The sequence below is a fragment of the Homo sapiens genome, chromosome 6 (genome assembly GCF_000001405.40).
Source record: "Homo sapiens chromosome 6, GRCh38.p14 Primary Assembly".
NCBI classification, from domain to species: Eukaryota; Metazoa; Chordata; class Mammalia; order Primates; family Hominidae; genus Homo; species Homo sapiens.
In genome coordinates this window covers 146,134,151-146,158,709 of record NC_000006.12, presented here as the reverse complement: position 1 = coordinate 146,158,709, position 24,559 = coordinate 146,134,151, and the positions used below count along the sequence as shown (strand labels likewise).

General features: G+C 38.1%; 1 protein-coding gene across 7 annotated transcripts in view; it reads right to left on the bottom strand.

The window, feature by feature from the left end:
• GRM1 (glutamate metabotropic receptor 1) overlaps positions 1 to 24,559 on the bottom strand; it is a 409,895-nt gene that overhangs the window by 278,892 nt on the left and 106,444 nt on the right. The gene's annotated exons all lie outside the window — the stretch shown is intronic.

Below are 24,559 nucleotides of genomic sequence, written 5' to 3'. Positions count from 1 at the left end.
ACTGAAAACTCATAGAAATCAATGAGATAAATATTACACTTTACAAGTTCCCTGTCTCTCTATTCCACTGATGATTTTAGCCCCCATTTTATGAGCCTCTGTGTCTCTATTCCTCTCCCGAAGTTTGAGGATTTTCACTTGTATGTGGATGATACATCTGATACCATGCCCTCACGATTTCTCAAACTCTCCCCTTCCACTGATGTTTCCTGTAACCCACACATGTCCAGGGTCACACTTTTGACCATGTTATCACAGATGTTTCTAATACCTCTGAATGTGGATGTCAAACATCCATCTCTGCTACCTCATCTTATCATACAAACTCATATATTCTACTACCTCTACTGCAGCACTTTTTCAACCTCATCAAAATTTCAAATCCATTAACCTTCCTATTTTTTCCTTCCATCCTCCCTCTTGTTTCCTTCTTAGCCCAGCTTAGATTTCATAGTCTACCTCTTAATTGCTTCTTGCAAATTCCTTAACTCTCTTATGTTTTCCTGACATTAATGCTAGTTAAACCCAACCATCTACCTATTCCATGTCTACACCTGAGCACCTAAATATGGCTAAAAAAGACACAACCTTGCTGAATGGTTTTATTTAAAATTCATCAGCACATGTACCAAAAATGATATTCAATAGCACAAGGAAATTATACTACATCACCCCTGTAAGTAAATTTTCTTACAGAAGGAATAAATTATTTCATTAATGATTAAATATTAAATATTTCATTAATCATTTCATCCTTACTCTTCTCTCTTCAAATTTCCAAACTACCAAAACCATTCCCACTCCCCATTTTGGCTTGGTTGTCATTTCATATTTCAATAAGAACATAGAAACAGTCTACCAAAAACTAGCTTTGCCTCCCACTACAACATCTATAAACATTTCTTCACTGGCATTTATATTATCTATCAATCTTTCTGTTGTAAATTTGAAGTGTGTCTACTTTAGGTTAGAGCCAACTCCTGCTCACGGACACTAGATCCCATCACTTTTTGTCTATTCAAGGAGTTTCTCCTACAGTTGTTCCCTCTCTTGGATAATCAATTTCTCCTTCCTATCAGTGTCAATCAAAAAGAAAAATACCCCTGACCTCATTGTCCCTCTTGAGTTACTCATTCATTGCTCCTGTTTATAGCAACAATAGTTGCCTAGGTCAATGTATTTGCTTCTTCTATTCTTTCCTTTTTAGCATTTTTTTCTCTTTGTCTTAGTTGACTTCTAATTGATATACAAAAACTGTACACATTTAATGTATACGTCTTGATGAGTTTGGACATAGGCATACCCATTACCTCATAATCTTCTCTTATCAAAATCTTCTTTTGTCAAGATCAGCAATAATCTCCCTGTTTCCATATCTTGTGATCTGTTGTCTTCATCAACCACCCAGTTGCATTCAACAGTTGGCCATACCCTCCTGGAAACATTTTATTCTCTTTATTTCTGTGATACAACCTTCTCCTGTTTTCCTCACTTCACTGGTCACTCCTCAGTATGTTTGTTGGATTTTCTTTCTCTGCTCCAATTGTCATACCAGGACTCAATCCTGAGAAATTTTGTCTTTTTCATCTATACTCTCACCATAGGTACTCCCACTCTGTCACATGCATTCAAATGATATTTGAATCCCTGTTGAATCCCAAATATAGATCTTCAGACTGAACTGCCCTTGGGATCAAAAGATTGGTTTATTTACCTACCTGATGGTATCCATTTATAGACACTTTAACATATTTGAAATAAAATTATTTCCTTCTCTACCTTGCAAATCTACTTCTTCCAGACATCTATTAGTACATGATGCCATTACCCACCAAGTTGTGCAATAACAAAATTTGAGAACTACTTTTATTTCTGTCTTTTTCTCACATTCCAGGACCATTCCTGTAGCCCTTATCTCTAGAACATTCTTAATCCTTTCTCTCTCCTCTGTTTCAGCCTCTGCCACTCTAAACTGTGTCTTAGGTCAGGTTATTTAAAAACAGAGCCTAATATGAAGATTATTGTTCAAGTAATTTATTGAGGAAGAGAAGGCAAAGAGAAGCAGGGAAGAACAGTAGGAAAGAGCTAAGCAGAAACATCATTTAAGCTAAAGAATAGCTTCAGGCTGACAACACAATAAAGTGCTAGAGCACATTACACCAGAGAGTTAACCCCACCTCCAGGCAAGGGATCCCCTTGTCAGTCAATCATTGGCTAAGGTCCACAAGAAGGAAGACCAGGTACTGCCTCCCAGGAAGCTGGCAACTGGGACTGATAGAAGCCTACTTTCTTTTTTTCTTTTGAGCCGGAGTCTCACTCTTGGTCGCCCAGGCTGGAGTGCAGTGGCACGATCTTGGCTCACTGCAACCTCCGCCTCTTGGGTTCAAGTAATTCTCCTGTCTCAGCCTCCTGAGCAGCTGGGACTACAGGTATGTGCCACCACACCTGGCTAATTTTTGTATTTTTAGTAGAGACAGGGTTTCACCACATTGGCCAGGCTGGTCTTGAACTCCTGACCTCAGATGATCAACCTGCCTCAGCCTCCCAAAGTGCTGGGATTACAGGCATGAGTCACTGTGCCTGGCCGATAGAAGCCTACTTTCATGGTAGCTAGGAGACTGGCACATACAGCAGGTAAAGGAAATCTGGGTGGGCAAAGCATAGTATCCTCTACACCAAGTAAATATCAGCTCTTCCCTAGACAAGTGCCGTAGGCTCCTGATTGGCCTCCCGGCATCCATTCTTGTTCTCAGTGATTGATTTCACACCTAGCAACCAGAGTAATCTGTTAAAGTGTAAATCTGATTTTGTCACTCCTTTACAGAAAGCTACACTTGCATTCCAACATGTTTGGAATAAAATGGAAACTCCTTTCCCTGGACTACCAGGCTGTGCATGGGCTTCTCCATAAGACTGGAGAAGGTGAGGGAGGGAAAGTGAGAAGAGATGAAGTTGGAGAAATTGGAAGGTTCATCCCAGGAGGCTTTTATCTTTTTCTGTTGGGGGAATACCCCAAACTCATGCATGCTATTTCCATCACCTGAAAAGATGCTCTGCTACTGGGTGATCTTATCAGTCATATCATGAAAGAAATATCACCTCCTTTGAAAAGCCTTTCCTGATCAGTTAGCTTAAAGCAACCTCTAAGTAAATCCTGGTCATTCCCCATGCTTTTATCTCAATATAGTCATGTGACACTTTACCACAGGGATATGTTCCGAGAAATGTGTTGTTAGGCGATTTTGTCATTGTACAAACATTATAGTGTGTTTCCACAAACATAGATGGCATAACCTACTATACACCTATGGTATATCGAATAGCCTATTGCTTCTAGGCTACAAACCTGAACAGCATGATACTGTACTGAATACTGTAGGCAACTGTAAGACAGTGGTAAGTATTTGTGTATCTAAACATAGAGAAAGTACAGTAAAAGTACCATATTATAATCTTATTATGATTGTGGGACCACAATCATATATGGGTGGCCCACTGTTTCCCAAAATGTCATTACTGGTGCATTGCTGTACATATTACTGATTGCTTTATTTTTCTTTTTCCCCTAGAATGTAATCTCCACGAGAAAATATTCTTATGGCTTTTTCAATGATGTACTCATGATAGTTCCAGATACTTAAATGCACAGCAAAGGTGCATTTGTTGTATCAGCCCAATGGAAAAATGGGCAAAAGTTATAAGCAAAAGCAATTTAAACAAAATAAGTAAAAGTGGGTAACAGGTATATGAAACAAATCACTGAACAGTATTTGCTATCAATAGAGTACCTTTAAAATGAAACATTATTTTTTTACCTAATAGAATGCTAGAAGTTCAAAGATTAATAATATTCAGTGTTGGCAAGGTATAAGTACATACACTGTTTGTGAAAGCAGTTCTAACTTTTGGTGCACAATTTGGCAGTAGTTTTCAAAATTTTTTAAGATAAATATCAGGTAAATGCAGCAATTATTTAAGCAAATAATTGTAAAAATATGACAGTATTCAGAAAGGACTTGGGACTTCAATGTCAACATCTGTAAAAGTTTCATGAGCATTGTAATTAAATCTAATAAGACATTCCTGTATTTTTTAAAAGAAGCTTTCTTATTTCCTTTTTCATAACATTAAATGATCAAATTAATGCATTTTTCTCTTAATTCAAACACCTTCAGTAACCTAATTCAGTCCAGTGAAGCCCAAACGAAGCATTAACACATCACAAAATCCTCAGCTCCAAAGACTGTGGAAACATGTCACGACTCAAAAGACAGGCATTGACTGATTACAAGGGAGAAAACCACACACAGCTGGCCAGCGAATGGCTTATTCATCTGCAGAAGAGGGCGCGAGGAAGGAAGTCAGATGCCACTTTCTCACAATACATGCAGGTTCAGGAATCTGCAAGGTAAATAGACATCACTAGCAGACCCTCTCAGCAGAAGTCACTGTCGGCCTGTCAGAAGATTGTGTTACAAGGAGAATGATTTTAAATTGCAGGGTGCCCACCCTTGGACTTCAATAAAGAAAAGATTTTGCTCCTTTTTGAAAACACATGCAGGTTAAACGAACAAGAATGCTCTTTGCATTAGAATAAGAAAATCCTTGTGTTTTAAACCTAATAAAGACCCTTAGGCATACTCAGAAAAACAGATCAGCTTATAGACAAGGAAACTGAGGCACAGAGAGGTGAAATATCTCACCAATGGGCACGAAGCTTATTGATGTGAGAACTGGAACAGCTCTGTCCTGATTCTTAGGTTACTTCTTATTTCTGTTAGTAGCAAAAAGCAATTAAACATGTATGTTTCATAATCTAAAATGTCTGGATGAGTTAACTGGTTTCATGAAATGTTTGTCCCAATTTCTTTATTTATATGCTCTTGTTTGAACAATTCTTTTTGTTGTTGCTGTTCAACTTTTAAGTTCAGGGGTGCATGTGCAGGATATGCAGGTTTGTTACATAGGTAAACACCTTCCTTGGTGGTTTGCTGCACAGATCAACCCATCACCTTGTAAGCCCAGCATCCATTATCTATTCTTCCAGATGCTCTCCCTCCCTGCACCGCTTCCCATGACAGGCCCTAGTGTGTGCTGTTCCCCAGCATATGTCCACGTGTTCTCATCTGAACAGCAATTCTTAACTACACATATTGATAGACAGCTGAGTATTACGTATTTGACTATGTTTAAACTCCCCATTTCTCTCATGATACCTAAAAGGCTCCAAACTTACATATAAATTCCCATGAGTGCAGCACTAATGTAGAAAGAACTTGTCCTTTTATCAATCTTTACTTTAAAAATTGTATTTGTACACATTATCTTAGTTGATTCTCAAAACAACCCTGTTATACTCATGGTATTGACAACAGTGTTAGATGCAAAGAGCATACAAACTGAAAAGGAAACCACCTCCCATTGAGCTTAACATTCTATTACTTTCATTTACTAAAAACAGAACTAATGACATGACAAGGACAACTGCAAGTATCTAATAGAGGTGCTATGGGTTAAGAATCAGGAAAACTGTCTAAAGAAAGTGTCGCTTGTTCTGAGTCTTAAAATATAAGCAGATTCTCCATAAAGAGAAAGAAACTAGGGGACATGTGCTCTTTGGCTATCTACCAGGTCATGAGCAAGCAATGTCAGGCTGAAGATAGTACACCCAGCCACGAGCCCACCCTCTGCCTTTCCCCAATCCCATTCTGCCACTTAGGCTTCTTCCTGCTTTTGCTGGCTTGAAGAATTTATCTAGATAATTCTCTGTGTCTAGTATCTGTAGCTCTGAAAGAAAGTTGTGAATATATAAAAAAGTGACCTATAATAAAACACTTAAGAAATAAAAAGGCTATGTAATTGTAAACACTCAGGGCTGGTAGAGAGCTGCATATTTTCTTTGGATTAGCAAATATTTTATTGAACTCTTAACCTGAAAAATTCCCTGTGCTCTGCCCTTTAAGAGTTGCCAAGAAATGTTAGACATTGACTCTCCCTTCAATTTGATGAAAATTTACTATGTGTCTGGCACTGGGATAAACACCTAAGCATTTCATTTATTCATCATAATAACTCCATATAGAAGTTATAACCCCTCTTTTACAAGTGAGGATGTGGAAGCTCAAAGAAGTTAAGTAACTCACCCAAAGGGACACAGTGGTGGATCTAGGATCTTAATTGGAAGTTCTTGCTCATAACCACCATTTTGTACTGCTTCCTCCATGGACTTACAGTATAGGTGTGAAGGCATGACACAAGCACACAAAATACAGCAGCAGTACTGAGCCATATATGCTACATGAAAAATAAAAACTACCGTCATCCTAGATTTAAGGATGGGAGAGCAGAGATAATCAGAGAACACCTCTTCAGAAAAGTAAGAAGGAAAGTGGGCCTGATGCCAAGCAAGGCATTGGCATTCAGGGTGAATGGGAGTGAATGTGAATCCATAAGAGGTATTTTTAGAGGCAGTAAGTAGAGAAGAACCACTGGAGCAGAAGGTTCATGATTTACAGAATGACACTCTGTTTCAAGATCTTTAGTGAGGCCTCTGGCATACCCCTACAAGATTGCAACGTGGTAATGTGCTATATGTTGCTGCATTGTAGAAGATTTTATAACAGACTTTATCACTGTTAAGATCCTGCCTAAAACCTAGAGAGTACAAGAGAAAGGGAAGAGCAGCGTCTGACAAAGTCCATAACATACACAATTTAATATGTTGAAAAATCTTAATTTTTATCTTAGTTATGTGACAATATTTACAGAGGGTAGGTTACATCAAGATATGCTCTAAAACTAACTTCTAGACAGAACTGATGGGATATTTATGAAGGAGAACACATGGAGCTTACAAAGAAATCCTATTATTTGAATAATCATAAAAGTACTTTAAAATAATAGAAGTGGACATGATTGTTTATACCAGAGTAAAGTTAAGATAGGCACTGAAAATGGGGGTAAAATGGGATCTCAGGAGAGAAAATAATGGCTGCAACTCTGAGTTCTCTAAACTCGGTATGATTTTGAAAAGTCAGACATAATTATCCAACTGGAAAAATGGAAATGTATTCAGAAAAATTGATTTATAGTGACTTAGTGGCTAAGTTTCATTGACCCATGAAACAGATTGTGTTGCATTTCATAATCACCTGTACGAACTGCCATCATGGCAAAAAAGTAGGCACTGAAAACTAGGCTTTAAATTGATTTTTTTTCCACTCCTAAAATATTGAGGATATATTTAAAACCATCTGAGCTCCATTTGGTGGCTCAAGTAACATTTCAGCCATCATGTAGCACTTAGTTCAAATCCTGTCAGTGCATCTTCAAACACTTTCTTGGTCAAACAACTGTATTCAACATTGCTCATTCCTGCATATTTACACATCAGTAAATCAGGGGAAACATTCATATAGAGAAAATATGTAGATATTTGTTTGTACACTTTCACTAAAAAATAAATGGTTTTCCTTTGGAGAATCTGCTATCTTATACTCTAGACACTCTTAATTCCTGGGTTATTTCATGTAGTCTCTCTCATTCTCCTGTGATGATGAATCCATTCCTGGTCTGGTCCCTTGGGTCACAGATCACTCCCTGTCAACCAACTACTTTGCCTCCTATGACATCTTGGACAAACAAGAGAATGTCGCATTTAAAAAATATTTCTTGGAAAGTCTTTATTTCTCCTTCATATTTGAAGTATAATTTCACTGGGATGAATGGATAGAGAAAATGTAGTGTGTGTGTGTGTGTGTGTGTGTGTGTGCGCGCACACGCGTGTGTGTGTTTATACAGGAATATTATTCAGCCAATAAATAGTGAAACCTGTCATTTGCAACAACATGGATTGAAATGGAGGACATTATGTTAACTGAAATAAGCCAGGCATACAAAAACAAGTATTGCATATTCTCACTCATTTGTGGGAGCTAAAAGTTAAATCTCATGGAGATAGAGTAGAAGGATGGTCAGAAGAGGCTGGGAGTGGTAGTGGGGAGAGAAGATAAAGAGGGGTTGGTTAATGAATACAAAAATACAGCTAGATAAAATGAATATCTACTATTTAGTAGCACCACAGGGTGACTATAGTTAACAAAAATTATTGTATATTTTAAAATAACTGGAAGAGTAAAATTGGAATCTTCCTAACAAAGAAATGATCAATGGTTGAAGTGACGAATATCCCAAGTACCCAGATTTGAGCATTGCACATTGTATGACTGTGTCAAAATATCACATGTACCCCATAAATATGGGAAACTATTATGTATCCAAAAATAAAAATAATTTTTTTAAATTAGTAATAAAGGGTAAAACAAAAATAAGAATTTCTGTGAATAAAATTGATTTCACAGCACCTTCTGGAAAACTATTGTAATACTCAACATCTATAACTATCAGGAAATTCTTTTTTACCTAAATTTCTTATGATAAAATCTAAATTTGTTTGTTTCCTCTTTATTCTCAGTGCAGACAGATATCAGCTGGTTTAAATTATTCTTTGGGGAGAGGGGAGGTTGTCCTTCTGGAAGTCATAATTCAGATTTCTCTTCCCCAGCAGAGAAACAACCCCTATTACTTTCACTTTTCCTGGCAGCCTTTTAATTTGTTTGGTTCTGCTCTGCCACTTAATACCTAGAAAATGTTATGGGTTTCCTGCCTCCATCCAAACATCTGCTGAGTCCTCTAACACAGTCAGCATGATGGGTCTGGTCAGTCAGAGGTGAGTGAATCATCACCTGTCCCGGTGTTCCCAGGTGGTGGCATATAAGGAAATTTATATTCAAGGTCAGTGAAGGAGCTGCCTCACACTGGGCAATCAAAGAGAACAAAAGAATCTTACAAGCAATTTTCCAGCCTCACCTCTGTTCCAGCTTTGGCAGGCACAAGTATAGCACCCAAGTAGAAGAAGGGGATTTACTACAAATTGGGTGTTTTCTTTAGGTAATAGCATAGAGGCCAAGTAATCTTTGTCCTCTTGCTTCACTGTGTTCTCAGCATCGTGTTCCCATTGTGCCTTACAGCTAAATGATTGAGAGGATGAGACTTAAAGGCAAATCAACCTGGTTTGAATCCTGCATCCTCAGTAAAGAGCTGGATAACCCTAAAGTATTTTCTTTTCTAAGTTTTGGTCCCTTTTGTGTAAAATGGAGGTCATAATGCACATCCAAAAAACTCATCATGATTATTAAATTATATGTGATAATAACTTTAAATTTCCCAGAACAAAGAAAAGTGCAGGGAATATTCTCCACGTCTTTCTACAGCTGTAGAATCTGAAAGTGGACATAAGGCTTTAGCACTGACCCAGTAGCTTTAGCTTTATGCCCATGTTGCTATTTATAAAACCCAAGCTCATGATTGTTTCTTTACTGCAGTGCTTCACTGTCCACTCATGGTCACCTTGTGTCCATGACTTTCTGCCACACTTGCACAAAGAAAGTCCTTCTCTTTTTTATTTTGGGGCTTTTAGTGTTTAGGTTTAAAGATGTATTGAAAGTCTACATTTATCTATATCCAGCCTCTGTCATTGAGTCTTCTTTAAGTTACAAACACTCATGCCTCACTGTATCCATTTTAGAGCTTCATACAATGATCCACTTCATTGATTCTCTAACTTCAGTTAGCTATTTATGAAATGGAGAAAGAAGTTAAGAGAAGGCAAAATCTAAGTGGTATAAAAATACAAAAGGAGATCATCATTCTTGGAAAAAAACCCAGCATTTCCCACTGTGGTTTCCACGTGCAAGAAACAGGTTCACAGGAGCAATTCTATCTCACCTGTCCACTATCCTTACCTATGTGGTATTGGTATATAATCAAAAACAGGAAGGTTGTATATAGCAACAACAAGTTCAGAAAAATTACCTCCAAATTACACACACACACAAACACACGCTCACACAAAACTATATATACTTGTTAATGATAATATCCACTGTTGGCAAGAGTTCATGTTAATGGTGTAATACATTTTTCTCATCTTTTTGGTAAAAAATTTGTAATATTAATATCAATACTATGAAGTATGTTAAATTATGTTCATATCCTTTGACTCAGAAAATAATTTCATTTTCCACGAAGTTTCAGTCACAAAAATTATCACAGCACATATTAGAAATAATAAAAACAGAAAACAATTTGTGTCCAACAATAGGAGGTTGGTATGTATTTATAAAAATAATGCATGCAAACATTTTCAAGGATGATATAAAATTGTACTCAATGTCAGGGAAAATATTTATGTCATATTTTTAAATGTCAGCATGGTTTAAAATAGAATGCAAAATATAAATCCAATTTTTAAAAATATATATCAATACATTTACATATATAAAGCTTAAAGAACAAGTATAAAAATGTTAACAATAGTTTTATTTAGACGATAGAATTATATGTAATTGTGTTTTTATATTTTTAATATTTTTTGTTTCTAAGTTATCTACAATAATCATTTATTAATTTGTTAATATAAATAAGTTTGAAATAAAAATACATAGGGATGAAAACTGAATGCCATGCCAAGCACAGCTATTACAGGGTATTTGGGAAATTTTTCCAGAAGGGAATTGAACCGCTCATAATGCCCACATAACAATTTTTCTTCCCAAAGGAAATAAGAAATACTAATGTTGTAGTGACTGCCTTTAAGTAAAGTTGGCCATAGGCTATGTGCCACTTTCTGTGATATCTACATACTTAGATTAAAAGACCATGTGTAATACATACAGATTTCTTGATAGAAATCCTGAAATCTGATGTGAGAGCCCTAATTTACTAAAGAAGAAATTTGTCTTCTTTTTTTCTTTTTCTTTCTTTCTTTTTTTAAGTTGAAGACTCAATGAGACTGAGTTTGGGAGATGTAGATTTATTGATCTATGAGCCTCTGCCTTAAGAAAAAATATACAGGACTCAGGACCCCCTCTCTGTTTGTTGTAAATTCCCTACAAGGGCTAGGCTGCAGGCCTAGTCACCACTTCTCCAACACAAGGAAGCACTTCAGCTTGAGCACAGGATGGCTGGCTCATAGAGGACTTCTCTTTAGGCAAAGGGCTAGAAGCAGAGAGAATAATTATTTTTAATAGGAAATAATGCTGAATAAAACCTGTTTCATCAGCTTCTGTGTCTTGGTATTCTGAACATTCTGTCTCACTAAAGTTAAAAGAAATTAAAGTATGACTTTGTCCAGGGAGGATAAGAAACACAAATGCCTTGTGATCCTAAAACGGTGGTATAATGTGAACACTAGCATTTATGGAGACCTTATGTCTTAATTATCATCTTTCATCTTTACCACAACTTCGTCGCCTTATTTGTCATAATTCTCTCCATTTACAGAGGAAACTGAGGACTAGAGAACTTACGTAACTTGCCCAGATACTGTCGGAGCTGGGATTTGAATTCAGATGTGCCTGACTCTAAAGCCTATGGCTCTTAATTATTTACCTACAACACGTTCTATGTTTCAGACTCCAGTAGTTTTCTATACATTATCTATTCCTCTGTTCTTCTTTAATAAAAAATACTCACTTTTGTTTGGAGTGACCGGGCATAGCCAAAAACACCTACCTGCCCAGATGCCCTTGTAGCTAGAGAAGCAAAGTGACCCAGTTCCAGGCAATGAGATTTAAGCAGAAGTTGTCAAGTGAAGCTTCTGGGAAATTTTTGAAAAAGTCAGATGGCAGATGGTCTGCTTCTTAAGCCTTTTGTCTCTTCTTTTTTTAGCCAGTAAATGGACTTGAGCCTGGAGGTGTAGCAGCCATGTGGTAACAATGGAGGGTCAAATATGAAGACTGTATTACTCTGTTTTCTGTTGCTTATAAAATAATACCAGAAACTGGGTAATTTATAAAGAAAAGGAACTTATTTCTTAAAGTATGGAGTCTGGGAAGTCCAAGGTCTATGGTGAGCATCTTGTGAGAGTCTCTTTACCGGTGGAGACTCACTTCAGTGTCCCAGAGTTGGCACAGGGCATCACATGGTGAGTAATTTGTGTGTGCTCATGTGCTAACATGCTAGCTCAGGCTTAATCTACTCATGAGGGCAGTCCCTCTTAATCTAATCACCTCTTAATGCTCTACTTCTCAATACTACCACATTGGGGATTAAGTTTCAACATAGTTTCAGAGGGGATGTTCAAACAATAACATTCCACCACGGTCCCCAAAACTCATGTCCTTCACAAATACCTTCATTCCAATCCCATCACCCCAAAGTCTTAATTCATTCCAACACCAACACAAAAGTCCAAAGTCTAGAATTTCATCTGGGAACATGTGAAATCAAAGCAGGTTATCTAATTTCAAGATACAATAGTAGGCCGGGCACGGTGGCTCACGCCTGTAATCCCAGCACTTTGGGAGGCAGAGGTGGGTGGATCACGAGGTCAGGAGATGGACACCATCTTGGCTAACACGGTGAAATCCCGTCTCTACTAAAAATACAAAAATTAGCCAGGTGTGGTGATGGTTGCCTGTAGTCCCAGCTACTAGGGAGGCTGAGGCAGGAGAATGACGTGAACCCGGGAGGCAGAGCTTGCAGTGAACCGAGATGGCGCCACGTCTCAAAAAAAAAAAAAAAAAAAAAAAAAAAAAAAAAAAAGATACAATGGTAGTACATAGGCACAGGGCAAATATTTACATTCCAAAAAGAAATAAGCCAAAAGAAAGTGTTAAGAGGCCTTAGGAAAGTCTGAAACCCAAGAGAGCAGACGTTAAATCTTAAGACTTCAGAAGAATCTCCTTTAACTATATGTCCAGTGTCCTTTGCACACTAGTGAGGGGAGTTGGGCCCCCAAGACCTAGGACAGCCCTGCCCCTATGGTTTGACTGGGCTCAGTACACCTAGCTGTCCCAGACTGGCACTGCACACTGGTAGCTCTATAGTTCTGAAATCTCAGTGGCAGTCCCACTCTCATGGCTCCAATGGGCATTGCCCTAGTGAGTACTCTGCAGAAGCTCCAACCCAACATTTCTGTTCATTATTATTCTAGTGGGATATCTCTGCAGTGCCTCTATCCCTGTGACAAGTATCTGCCTTAACTCCTGCCTTTCCATGACATCCTGTAGAATCTAGGTGGAGGATGTCAAGCCACCACAGCTCTTGCTTTCTACAAGCCTGCAGAATTAGCACCATGTGGACGCCACCAAAGTTTACAACTTATATTTACCAGAGCTGCAGTGCAAGCTGTACCTAGGGCTACTTGAGCCATAGTTGAGCAGCTGCGCAGTGTGCTTGGGGACAGAGAGTAGAGTTCTGAAGTGGCCCTGGGCAGCTAGCTCATAGAGATAGTCCTGGGCCTGTCCCCTGGGAATATTCTGCTCTCCTAGGCTTCTGGGGCTGTGATGGGGGGACAGCCTAAAAGATATCTGAAATACCTTTGGGGTCTTTCTTCCATTGTCCTGAGGAGTAGCATGCAGCTTCCTTCTATCTGTGCTAATATCTTCACCATATGGTTGCTGAGCTACAATCTTGGTTTCTTCATCTGAACATACTTTTTCACTCTTTATGTGCCAAAGTGAGGGTTTTCCAAATATTTTCATTCTGCTTCCCTTTTAATTATGTATTTTGTTTTTAAATCATTCCTTTTTTCCTGAATTTCGGGATTAGCAGCCAAAAGCAACCATGCAGCTTCTTCCGTTTTGCTTAGAAATTTATTCTGACAGATATTCTAGATCATTACTCTTAAGTTGGACTTTCCACAAAGCCCTTGGGCATGAACACAGTTCTACCATATTCCTTGCCAATCTATAAAAAGGATAGCCTTTACTCCAGTTTCCTATACTTTTTTCTTCAGTTTCACTGTAAATTTTAACACAATGGCCTTTACGATCTATGTTTCTATTACCATTCTGGTCATAATCACTAAACCAACCTCTAAGGAGTATCAGATTTTCCCCATCTTCTTGTCTTCTAAGCCCTCATCAGAATCACTCTTAATGCTCTGTTCATAAAGACACAGATCTTTCTAGCCTGCTCCTCTAAACTCTTCCAGTCTCTTACCCAGTTCTAAAGCCACTTCCACATTTTCAGGTATTCATTATTGGCAACAACCCCACTCCTGGTGCCAATTTTCTGTTGTAGTCTGTTTTTTATTGCTTATAACAAAATATCTAAAACTGAGTAATTAATAAAGAAATGTAATTTATTTCTTATAATGATGGATACTGAGAAGTTCAAGGTTGAGAAGCATCGTCTGGTAAGAGCCTTGTTGCTAGTGGGGACACTGCAGAGTCCTGAGGCAGCACAGGGTATCACATGGTGAAGAGGTTGAGTGTGGTAGCTCAAGTCTCTCTTCTTTCTATAAAGCCACAAGTTCCACTCCCATCATAACCCAAACAAAATATATATGCTGAAGTTTTAAAATCCAATGTAGCTGTATTTAGAGATTGGGCCTAAAAGGAGGTAATTAAGGTTAAATAATGTCATAAGGGTGGGGCCCTGATCCAATAAGATTAGAAGCCTTCTAAGAAGAGACACCAAAGTGCTCACACTCTTTATGAGCAGAAACCAAGTATGTGAGAACCTGTGAGGGCACAGCAAGTGGTACCCATCTGCAAGCCAGGAAGAGAGCTCTCACCAGACACCAAATTTGCTGGAAACTTGATCTTCAACTCCCCAGGCTCCATAACAGTGAGAAAATAAATTTCTATGGTTTAAGCCTCCTAGTCTGTAATAATTTTGTTTGGTAGCCCAAGTAGGCTAATACAATATGAAATTTCCCAATAAAATTTTCAGAATGAGAGCCAGGAGTCTTGATTGCCTCTAACTAGCTATGACCTTGAGCTGGGTATCATTCTGTCTTCTTTATTCATGTTCAAAATACAGGGTTTGTACTAGGAAATCTCTAAGGTTTCTTATAGCATAAGCATTTGGTGATTCTAGAGCAATATGAATCAGCACTCTTTCATAATCTGTAGCCTCATGTCAAAACATTTTTCATATTCTCAGTATTCAAAGTAAGTACCTGCTTAGCAGATTTTTTTCAACAGCTTTTTTCTTTCCCAATATGATTTCTTTTACAAGTGTATTACTGTAGGGGAGGAGAAAGCATTTGTTGTGCAGCCACTTAAAATGTATCTTGCCTGCAGATTCATTTTTGCCAATATTCATTTTTAGGTATGCAGTCACTGAAAAACAGGGAACAAGATACTGCCCTGCAGAAACACCCAACATATGACAAAACCAGACCACTTCCAGAACAAGCTCATCAGGTGAACCTGAACTAACAGAAAGACATACTGCCCAGCATCATTGGACTGACATTCATCAGGATCCAGCTGTTCTCCTATCCCTCCAAGCAGCTACTTTTAGCCACCTTATGCTTGGTGGGATCAATTCAACCCTATTACTAAGCTCTCAGTCTCCTCCTATTTAACCCCACATTTTATATATCTTTTACATCATCAGTAGAAAATAAGATTTAGCTAAGTCAAAATAGATTTTACCCAGGGTCAAAAGGAAATTAGGGTATGGAAGAAAAGTTTCCTTTAATTCAAAGAACGTGAGGACCTCTTGAAGTAAATGTAGTGAATTTAAAAGCCCTTGGAGAACCCATTGCCTTGAAGGGAAGGACCCAGTCCTGGAGGATTCATTATCTGCTGACTAAAGAGCTCTTAGGCCCTGAATAATCAGTAGTGCTAGCAAGGTAGCGCACATCATGGGCCTTGGGGGAGACTGAGATGTGCTGGCTTCGGGTGTGACCCAGCACATTCCCAGCTGTGGTAGCTATGATGGGAGACTACTTTCTTTGAGAAAAGCAGAGAGAAAAGTGAAGAGGACATTGTGTTGCAGCCTAAGTACCAGCTTGGCCACAGTGGGTTAGAGTACCAAGCAGGCTCGTGGGGTTACCGATTCCAGGCCTTGGTTCTTGGGTAGAATTTCTCAACCTTCCCTGGGTGAGAAGAGAGCCCACTGCCCTGAAAGGGTAAGTCTCAGGCCTGACAGCATTCACCACAAGCTGACTGAAGGGCTGTAGGGCTTGAGTGAACATAGGCAGTAGCGTCGCAGTACTGTCTGCAGGCCTGTGGTGGTGGTCTATGCGGAGAAACGCCTCTGCTTGTGGAAAGGGAGGGTAGGGTGGGAAAGACTTTGTCTTGTGGCTTGAGTGCCAGCGCAGCTGGTGTAGACTACAGAACAAGGTAAATCCCTAAGTTTTCTGACTCCAGGTCCTGCCTCCTAGATGGCATCTCTGGATCCACCCAGGCCTGGGGGAACTCATCACCCTGAAGGGAAGGACACAGCCTGACTTGTTTTGTCACATACCAATTGTGAGCCCAGCAAACATAGGCAGTAGCCAAGTAGTAGTTACAGTGGGTCTTGTGTGAGTTCCACACTGCTGTGCTAGCTTCAGGTCTGACCCAGCATAGTTGCAGTGGTAGTGGCCACAGGAGTGCTTGTGTCACCTCTCCCACAGCTCCAGGAAGCTCAGCACAGAAAGAAAGACTCTATTTGTTTGGGAGAAAGTAAGGGAAGATAAAAAGGGTTTCTTACCGGTAATCAGAGAATTCTTCCAAATCTTATCCAAGACGACCAAGGTGGTACCTCTATGAGGTGGTACTTATACGGGAGCTACAGTGTTACTGGGCATGAGGTGCCCTCTAATGCAGACATGGCTGCAATGACCAAAAACTTAGATAACAACACCCAAGTCCCTTTGAATACCTGGAAAGCCTTCCTAAGAAAGACAGGGACAAATAAGCCAAGACCTTGAAGACTATAATATCTAACTCTTCAATATCCAGCCACCAACAAAATTCCACAAGCGTTAAGACTATCCAGGAAAACATAACCTCACCAAATGAACTAAATAAGGCATCAGGAACCAGTCCTGGAGAGACAGAAATATGTGACCTTTTGGACAGAGAATTCCAAATAGCCGTTTTGAAGAAACTCACTGAAATTCAGGGTAACATAGAGTAGAAATTCAAAATCCTATCAGACAAATTTAACAAACTGATTGAAATAATTAAAAAGAATCAAGCAGAAATCCGAGTTGAAAAACACAATTGACATGCCAAAGAATGCATCAGAGTCTCTTAATAGCAGAATTGATCAAGCAGAGGAAAGAATTTATTAGCTTGAAGACGGATTATTTGAAAACACATGGTCAGAGGAGACAAACAAATAAAAAACAATGAAGCATGCCTAGAAGATCTAGAATATAGTCTCAAAAAGACAAATCTAAGAGTTTTTGGCCTTAAAGAGGAGATGGAGAAAGAGATATGTGTAGAAAGTTTCTTCGCAGGATAATATCAGAGAACTTCCCAAACCAAGAGAAAGATATTAACATTCAAGTACAAGAAAGTTATAGAATACCAAGCAGATTTAACCCAAAGAAGACTACTTCGAGGCATTTAATAATCAAATTCCCAAGGTCAAGGACAAAAAAAAAATCTTAGAAGCAGCAAGAGAAAAAAAAAAAAACTAAGAACAGACAATGGAGTTCCAGTATGTCTGGCAGCAGACTTTTCAGTGGAAACATTACAAGCCAGGAAACAGTGTCATGACATATTTAAAATGCAGGACGAAAAAAAATCTTTTACTCTGGAATAATAATATATTCAGTGAACATATCCTTCACCCATGAAGAAAAAATAAAAACTTTCTCAGACAAACATAAGTTGAGAGATTTCATCAACACCAGACATGTCCTACAAGAAATGCTAAAGGGAGTTCTTCAATCTGAGAGAAAACAAAATTAATGAGCAATAAAAAACGATCTGAAGGTGCAAAGCTCACTGGTACTAGTAGGTACACAGAAAAACATAGAATATTGTAGCACTGTAATGGTGGTGTGTAAACGACTCACATCTTAGGTAGAAAGACTAAAAGATGAACTAATCAAAATTAATAACTACAACTTTCCAAAACATAAATGATACAGTAAGATATAAATAGAAACAACAAAAAGTCAAAAAGGTTTTAAACTTCTGTTAAAAAAAGTTAAAAACTTTTTCAACAAAGTTAAAAAGCAGACAAAATTGAAGCGTAGAGTTTTTATTAGTTTTCTCTTTGCTTGTTTGTTAGTTAATTTGTTTTTGCAATCAGTGTTAAGTTTTCATCCGTTTAAAATAATGGGTTATAAGATATTATTTGGAAGCCTCATGGTAACCTCAAACCAAAAAACATATAACAGGCTGGGTGTGGCGGCTCATGCCTATAATCCCAGAATTTTGGGAGGCTGAGGTGGGTGGATCATGTGAAGCCATGAATTCAAGACCAGCCTGGCAATCATGGGGAAACCCCATCTCTAGTAAAAATACAAAAATTAGCCTGGTATGGTGGTGCATGCCTGTAATTCCAGCTACTTGGGTGGTTAAGGCACAAGAATCACTTGAGCCCAGGTGGCAGAGGTTGCAGTGAGCTGAGATCGTGCACTGCACTCCAGCCTGGGCAACAGTGTGAGACTTTGTCTCAAAAAATAATAATAATCATAATAATAATACGGATACAAAAAATAAAAAGCAAGAAATTAAAATATACCACCAGAGAAAAATCACCTTCACTAAAATGTAGACAGGAAAGAAGGAAGGAAGGAAGGAAGGAGAAAGAAGGAAGGAAGGAAAGAAAGAAAGAAAGAAAGAAAGAAAGAAAGAAAGAAAGAAAGAAAGAATAAAGAAAGAAAGGAGAAAAGAAGAGGAGAGGAAAGGAGAAGAGAGGAAAGAAGCAAAGGGGAGAGGAGGGGAAGTGAGGGGAGGGGAGGGAAGCGGAGGGAAGCGGAGGGAAGCGGAGGGAAGGGAAGGGAAGGGGAGGGGAGGGCAGGGGAAGGGAGGGGAGGGGAGGGGAGGGAAGGGAAGGGAAGGGAAGGGAAGGGAAGGGAAGGGAAGGGAACAAAGCAACCAGAAAACAAATAACAAAATGGCAGGAGTAGGTTTTTAGTTGTCAGTAATAACACTGAATGTTAAGTCGACTAAACACTCCAATCAAAAGATATGGAATGATTGAAAGGATTAAAATAAATAAGACCCAATGATCTATTGCCTATAAGAAATACACTTCACCCATAAAGACACACACAGACTAAAAATAAAGGAATGAAAAACTATATTCCATGCAAATGGAAGACATAAAAGAACAGAAATAGATATATTGGACAAAATAGATTTCAAGACAAAAACTATAAAAAGAGACAAGGATCATTATATAGTAATAAAGTGGTCAATTCACCAAGAGGATATAACAATTGTAAATATATATGGACCCAACACTGGAGCACCCAGATATATAAAGCAAATGTTATTAGAGCTAAAGAGAGAGATTGATTCCAGTACAATAATAACTAGAGACTTCAACCCTGTACTTTCAGCATTGGACAGATCATCCATACAGAAAATCAACACAGAAACATCAAACTTAATCTGCACTATAGATCAAATAGACATAATAGATATTTACAGAACATTTTATCCAATGGCTCCAGAATACATATTCTTCTCAGCATATGGATAATTCTCAAGGATAGGCCATATATTAGACCACAAAACAAATCTTAAATAATTCAAAAAATTGTAATTGTAAAAAGTATCTTCTTTGACCATAATGAAATAAAACTAGAACTCAAGAGGAATTTTGAAAACTATATAAAATGGAAACTAAACAGTATGCTCCTGAATGACCGGTGGGTCAATAAAGAAATTAAGAAGAAAATTGAAAAATTTCTCGAAACAAATGATAGTGGAAACACAACATACCAAAACCTATGGGATACAACAAAAGCAGTATTAAGAGGAAATTTTAGCGCTGTAAGTGTCTACATTAAAAAAAAAAGAACATTTCAAATAAACAACCTAAGTATGCATCTTAAAGAACTAGAAAACAAGAGCAAATCAAACCGCAAATTAGTAGAAGAAAATAAATAATGAAGATCAGAGCAGAAATAAATGAAATTAAAACAAAGGAAACAATACAAAGGATCAATAAAATAAAAAGTTAGTTCTTTGAAAAGATAGACAAACCTTTAGACATACTAAAAAAAAGCAGATAAGGCTCAAATAAAATCAGAGATTAGAAAGGATCATTAGAAGGTACTATAAGCAACTATATGCCAATAATTGGACAACCTAGAAGAAATAAATAAATTCCTAGACACATACAACCCACCAAGATTGAACCAGGAAGAAATCCCAAACCTGAACAGGCCAATAACAAGTAAGAAGGTCAAAACTGTAATAAAATGTTTCCCGGAAAACTAAAGCCTGGGAGCTGATGGCTTTGCTGCTGAATTTTACCAAACATTTAAATAACTAATACCCATCCTACTCAAACTATTACAAAAAATAGAGGAGGAGGGAACACTTCACTTGATGCTGAAAAAGCATTTGATGAAATTCAACATCACTTCATAATAAAAAAATCTCAAAAACTGAGTATAGAAGGACGATACATCTACATAATAAAAACGATATGCAACTGACACACATCTAGTATCATACTGATGGGGAAAAACTGAAAGCTTTTCCCCTAAGATCTAGAACACAACACGGATGCCCACTTGCACCACTGTTATTTAACATAGTACTGAAAGTCCTAACTAGAGCAATCAGACAAGAGAAAGATATAAAAGGCATCCAAATTGAAAAGGAAGAAGTCAAATTATCCTTGTTTGCAGATGATGCAATCCTATATTTGAAAAAAATCTAAAGACTTCATCAAAAAAACTATTAGAACTGATAAAGAAATTCAGTAAAGTTGCAGGATACAAAATCAATATTTAAAAAATTAGTACCATTTATATACGCCAACAGTAAATAATCTGAAAAAGAAATCAAAAAGTAATCCCATTTATAGTAGTCACAAATGAAATTAAATACCTAGGCATTAACTTAACCGAAGAAGTGAAAAATCTGTCCAATGAAAATTATAAAACACTGATGAAATAAATTGAGCAGGACACAAAAAATGGAAAAATATTATATGTTTATGAATTGAAAGAATTAATGTTGTTAAAATGTTCATATACCCAAAGCAATCTATAAATTCAATGTGAGCCCTATCAAAATACCAACAATGTTCTTCACAAAAATGGAAAACACAATCCTAATGTTTATGGAACCAGATAAGACCCAGAATAGCCAAAGCTATCCTGAGGGAAAAAAAATTGAGGAATCACATTACCTGACTTCAAAATACACTACAAAATATAGTAATCAAAACAGCATGATACTGTTATAAAAACAGACACATAGACCAATGTAACAGAATAGAGAATCCAGAAACAAATCTGTATATCTACAATAAACTTATTTTTAACAAAGATGCCAAGACCATACAATGGGGGAATGGACAGTCTCTTCAATAAATGGCATTAGGAAAACTGGGTATCCATATGCAGAAGAATGAAACTAGACCCCAGTGTGCCATATACAATAATCAAACCAAAATAGACTAAAGAGTTAAATCTAAGACCTCAAATTATAAAGCTACTAAAATAAAACATCGAGGAAACTCTCCAGGATATGGAGTGGGCAAAGATTGCTTCAGTATACTCCACAAGAATAGGCAACCGAAGCAAAAATGAACTAATGGGATACATCAACTTAAAAAGCTTCTGCGGCCGGGCATGGTAGCTCACGCCTGTAATCTCAGCACTTTGGGAGGCCAAGGCGGGTGGATTACCTGAGGTCAGGAGTTCAAAATCAGCCTGGACAACATGGCGAAACCCTGTCTCTACTAAAAATACAAAAATTAGCCGGGTGTGGTGGTGCATGCCTGTAATACCAGCTACTTGGGAGGCTGAGGCAGGAGAATCACTTGAACCCAGGAGGCAATAATTGCAGCGAGCTGAGATTGTGCAACTGCACTTCAGCCTGGGTGACAGAGCAAGGCTCTGTCTCAAAAAAAAAAAAAAAAAAAAAGCTTCTGTACAACAAAGAAAACAATCAACAAAGTGAAGAAACAACCCACATGACAGATTATTTGCTGTTGGCATATATAAATAGTACTAATGCTTTAAATATTGATTTGTATCCTGCAACTTTACTGAATTTCTTTATCAGCTCTATTTGCAAACTACCCATCTGACAAGGGATTAATCACCATAATATATATGGAGCTCATACAACTCTACAGGAAAAAAATCTAATAGTCCTTTTAAAAAATTAGCAAAAGATCGGAATAGACAGTTCTCAAAAGAAGACATACAAATAGTAAACAGGTATCTGAAAAGGTGTTCAACATCACTGGTTATCAGATAAATTCAAGTCAAAACTACAAAGAGATCTCACCCCAGTTAAAATGGCTTTTTCCAAAAGACAGGCAATAACAAATGCTGGTGAGGATGTGAAGGAAAGGGAACCCTCATACACTGTTGGTAGGGATGTAAATTAGTACAATCACTATGGAGAGCAGTTTGGAGGCTCCTCAAAAAACTAAAAACTGAGCTACCATATATTCTAGCATCCCACTTCTAGGTATAGACCCAAAAGAAAAGAAAACGGTATATTGAAGACATATCTGCACTACCATGTTTATTTCAGTACTATTTACCATGACTAAGATTTGCAAGCAATCCAAGTGTCTATCAACAGACAAATGGATAGAGAAAATGTGGTATATATACACAATGAAGTACTGTTCAGCCATAACAAGAATGATATATTCTCATTTCCAACAACATGAATGGAACTGGAGGTCATTATCTTAAGTGAAATAAGCCAAGCACAGAAAGACAAGTTTTGCATGTTGTCACTTATTTGTGAAAGCTAAAATTCAAACAATTGAACTCTTAGAGATAGTGAGTAGAAGGATGGTTCCCAGAGGCTGGGAAGGGTAGTTGGGGGGTGAGGGGAAAGTGGGGATAGTTAATGGGTATAAAAAAATAGAAAGAATGAATGAGATCCAGTATTTGATAACAAGGTGATTACAGTTAATAATAATTTAATTGCACATTTTAAAATAAAGAGTAGAATTGGATTGTTTGTAACATGAAGGGTAAATGCTTAAGGTGATGGATACCCCATTTACCCTGATGTGGTTACTGTGCATTATATGCCTCTTTCAAAATATCTTATGTACTCCATAAATATATACCCTTACTATGCACCCACTAAAATTAAAAATAAAATAAAAGCCCTTGGAAACCTAACCAGTGGTTGGTTCTGCCTCAATGTAACTATGACTGTGTGCAAGTTCTTGCACTGCCCTGGGTTACAGTGTTCTTATATGTGAAGTGAAGGAGTTACACTGAGTAACCTCCGACATCTCTTACTATGTGTCTGTAAGTCTAGCCCAGGTTTTCTGCATCATGGTAGGAAAGGCTCATTCCACACCACTTCACATCACAGAGCCTTAGTCAGACCTGCATTTCACTTGGATTCAGATTGTGCAGAGGAGTTTTCCAATGGCTTTGCCAATACTTTTGGAGTGATGTCATCCATCTATAGGAGAGATAGCATTGCAGAATGGTGATAAGCAGGCGCTCTGGCAGCAGAGAGTCCTGGGCTCAAATTCTAACTCCCTACTGTTTACTAGCTATGAGACTTTGGGTAAGTCAGCTAATCTCCTTGTGCTTTGGCTCCCTCACCTATAAAATGGCCATAATAGTAACCACCTCTTAGGGTTATCATTAAGAATTAAATAATTTATATATATGCAAATATTATCATATAGTAAGTATCTGATATGGTCTGGCTCTGTGTCCCCACCCAAATCTTATCTTAAGTTGCAATCTGAATTGTAATCATCATATGTTGAGGGAGGGACCTCGTGGGAGGTGATTAGACTATGGGGGTGGTCCCCCCATGCTGTTCTTTTTGTTTTGTTTTGTTTTGTTTTTGAGACGGAGTCACGCTCTGTCATCCAGACTGGAGTCCAGTGGTGCCATCTTGGCTCACTGCAAGCTCTGCCTCCCGGGTTCCCGCCATTCTCCTGCCTCAGCCTCCCGAGTAGCTGGGACTACAGGCGCCTGCCACCACACCCAGCTACATTTTTTGTATTTTTAGTAGAGACGGGGTTTCACTGTGGTAGTCAGGATGGTCTCAATATTCTGACCTCATGATCCACCCGCCATGGCCTCCCAAAGTGCTAGGATTACCGATGTGAGCCACCACACCCGGTCCATGCTGTTCTTTTAATAGTGAGTGAGTTCTCAAGAGATCTGACGGTTTTATAAGGGGCTTTTCTCCCCTTTGCTCTGCACTACTCTCTCCTGACACCATGTGAAGAAGGACATGTTTGCTTCCTCTTCTGCCATGATTGTAAGTTTCCTGAGGCCTCCCAAGCCACCCCGAACTGTGAGTGAATTAAAACTCTTTCCTTTATAAATTACCTAGTCTTGTGTATGTCTTTACTAGCAGCATGAGAACGGACTAATACAGTACCATATGAGAGTTTGTAATTATTTGTTTTGGAAACATTTAATGAGCTCTATGTGTTAGGTACCAAATTAAGCCCTTTACATTCATTATCTCCTTGTCTTCAGAAACCCACAACATGCCATTTTGCATACAATAAAACTGGGGCTCAGAAAGGTTCCTTATGTTCCCACATGTAGTAAATGGGAGAGAGGAGAACACAGCCCAGGCAGTGAGACTCCAGAGCCCACAGTGGTATTCAA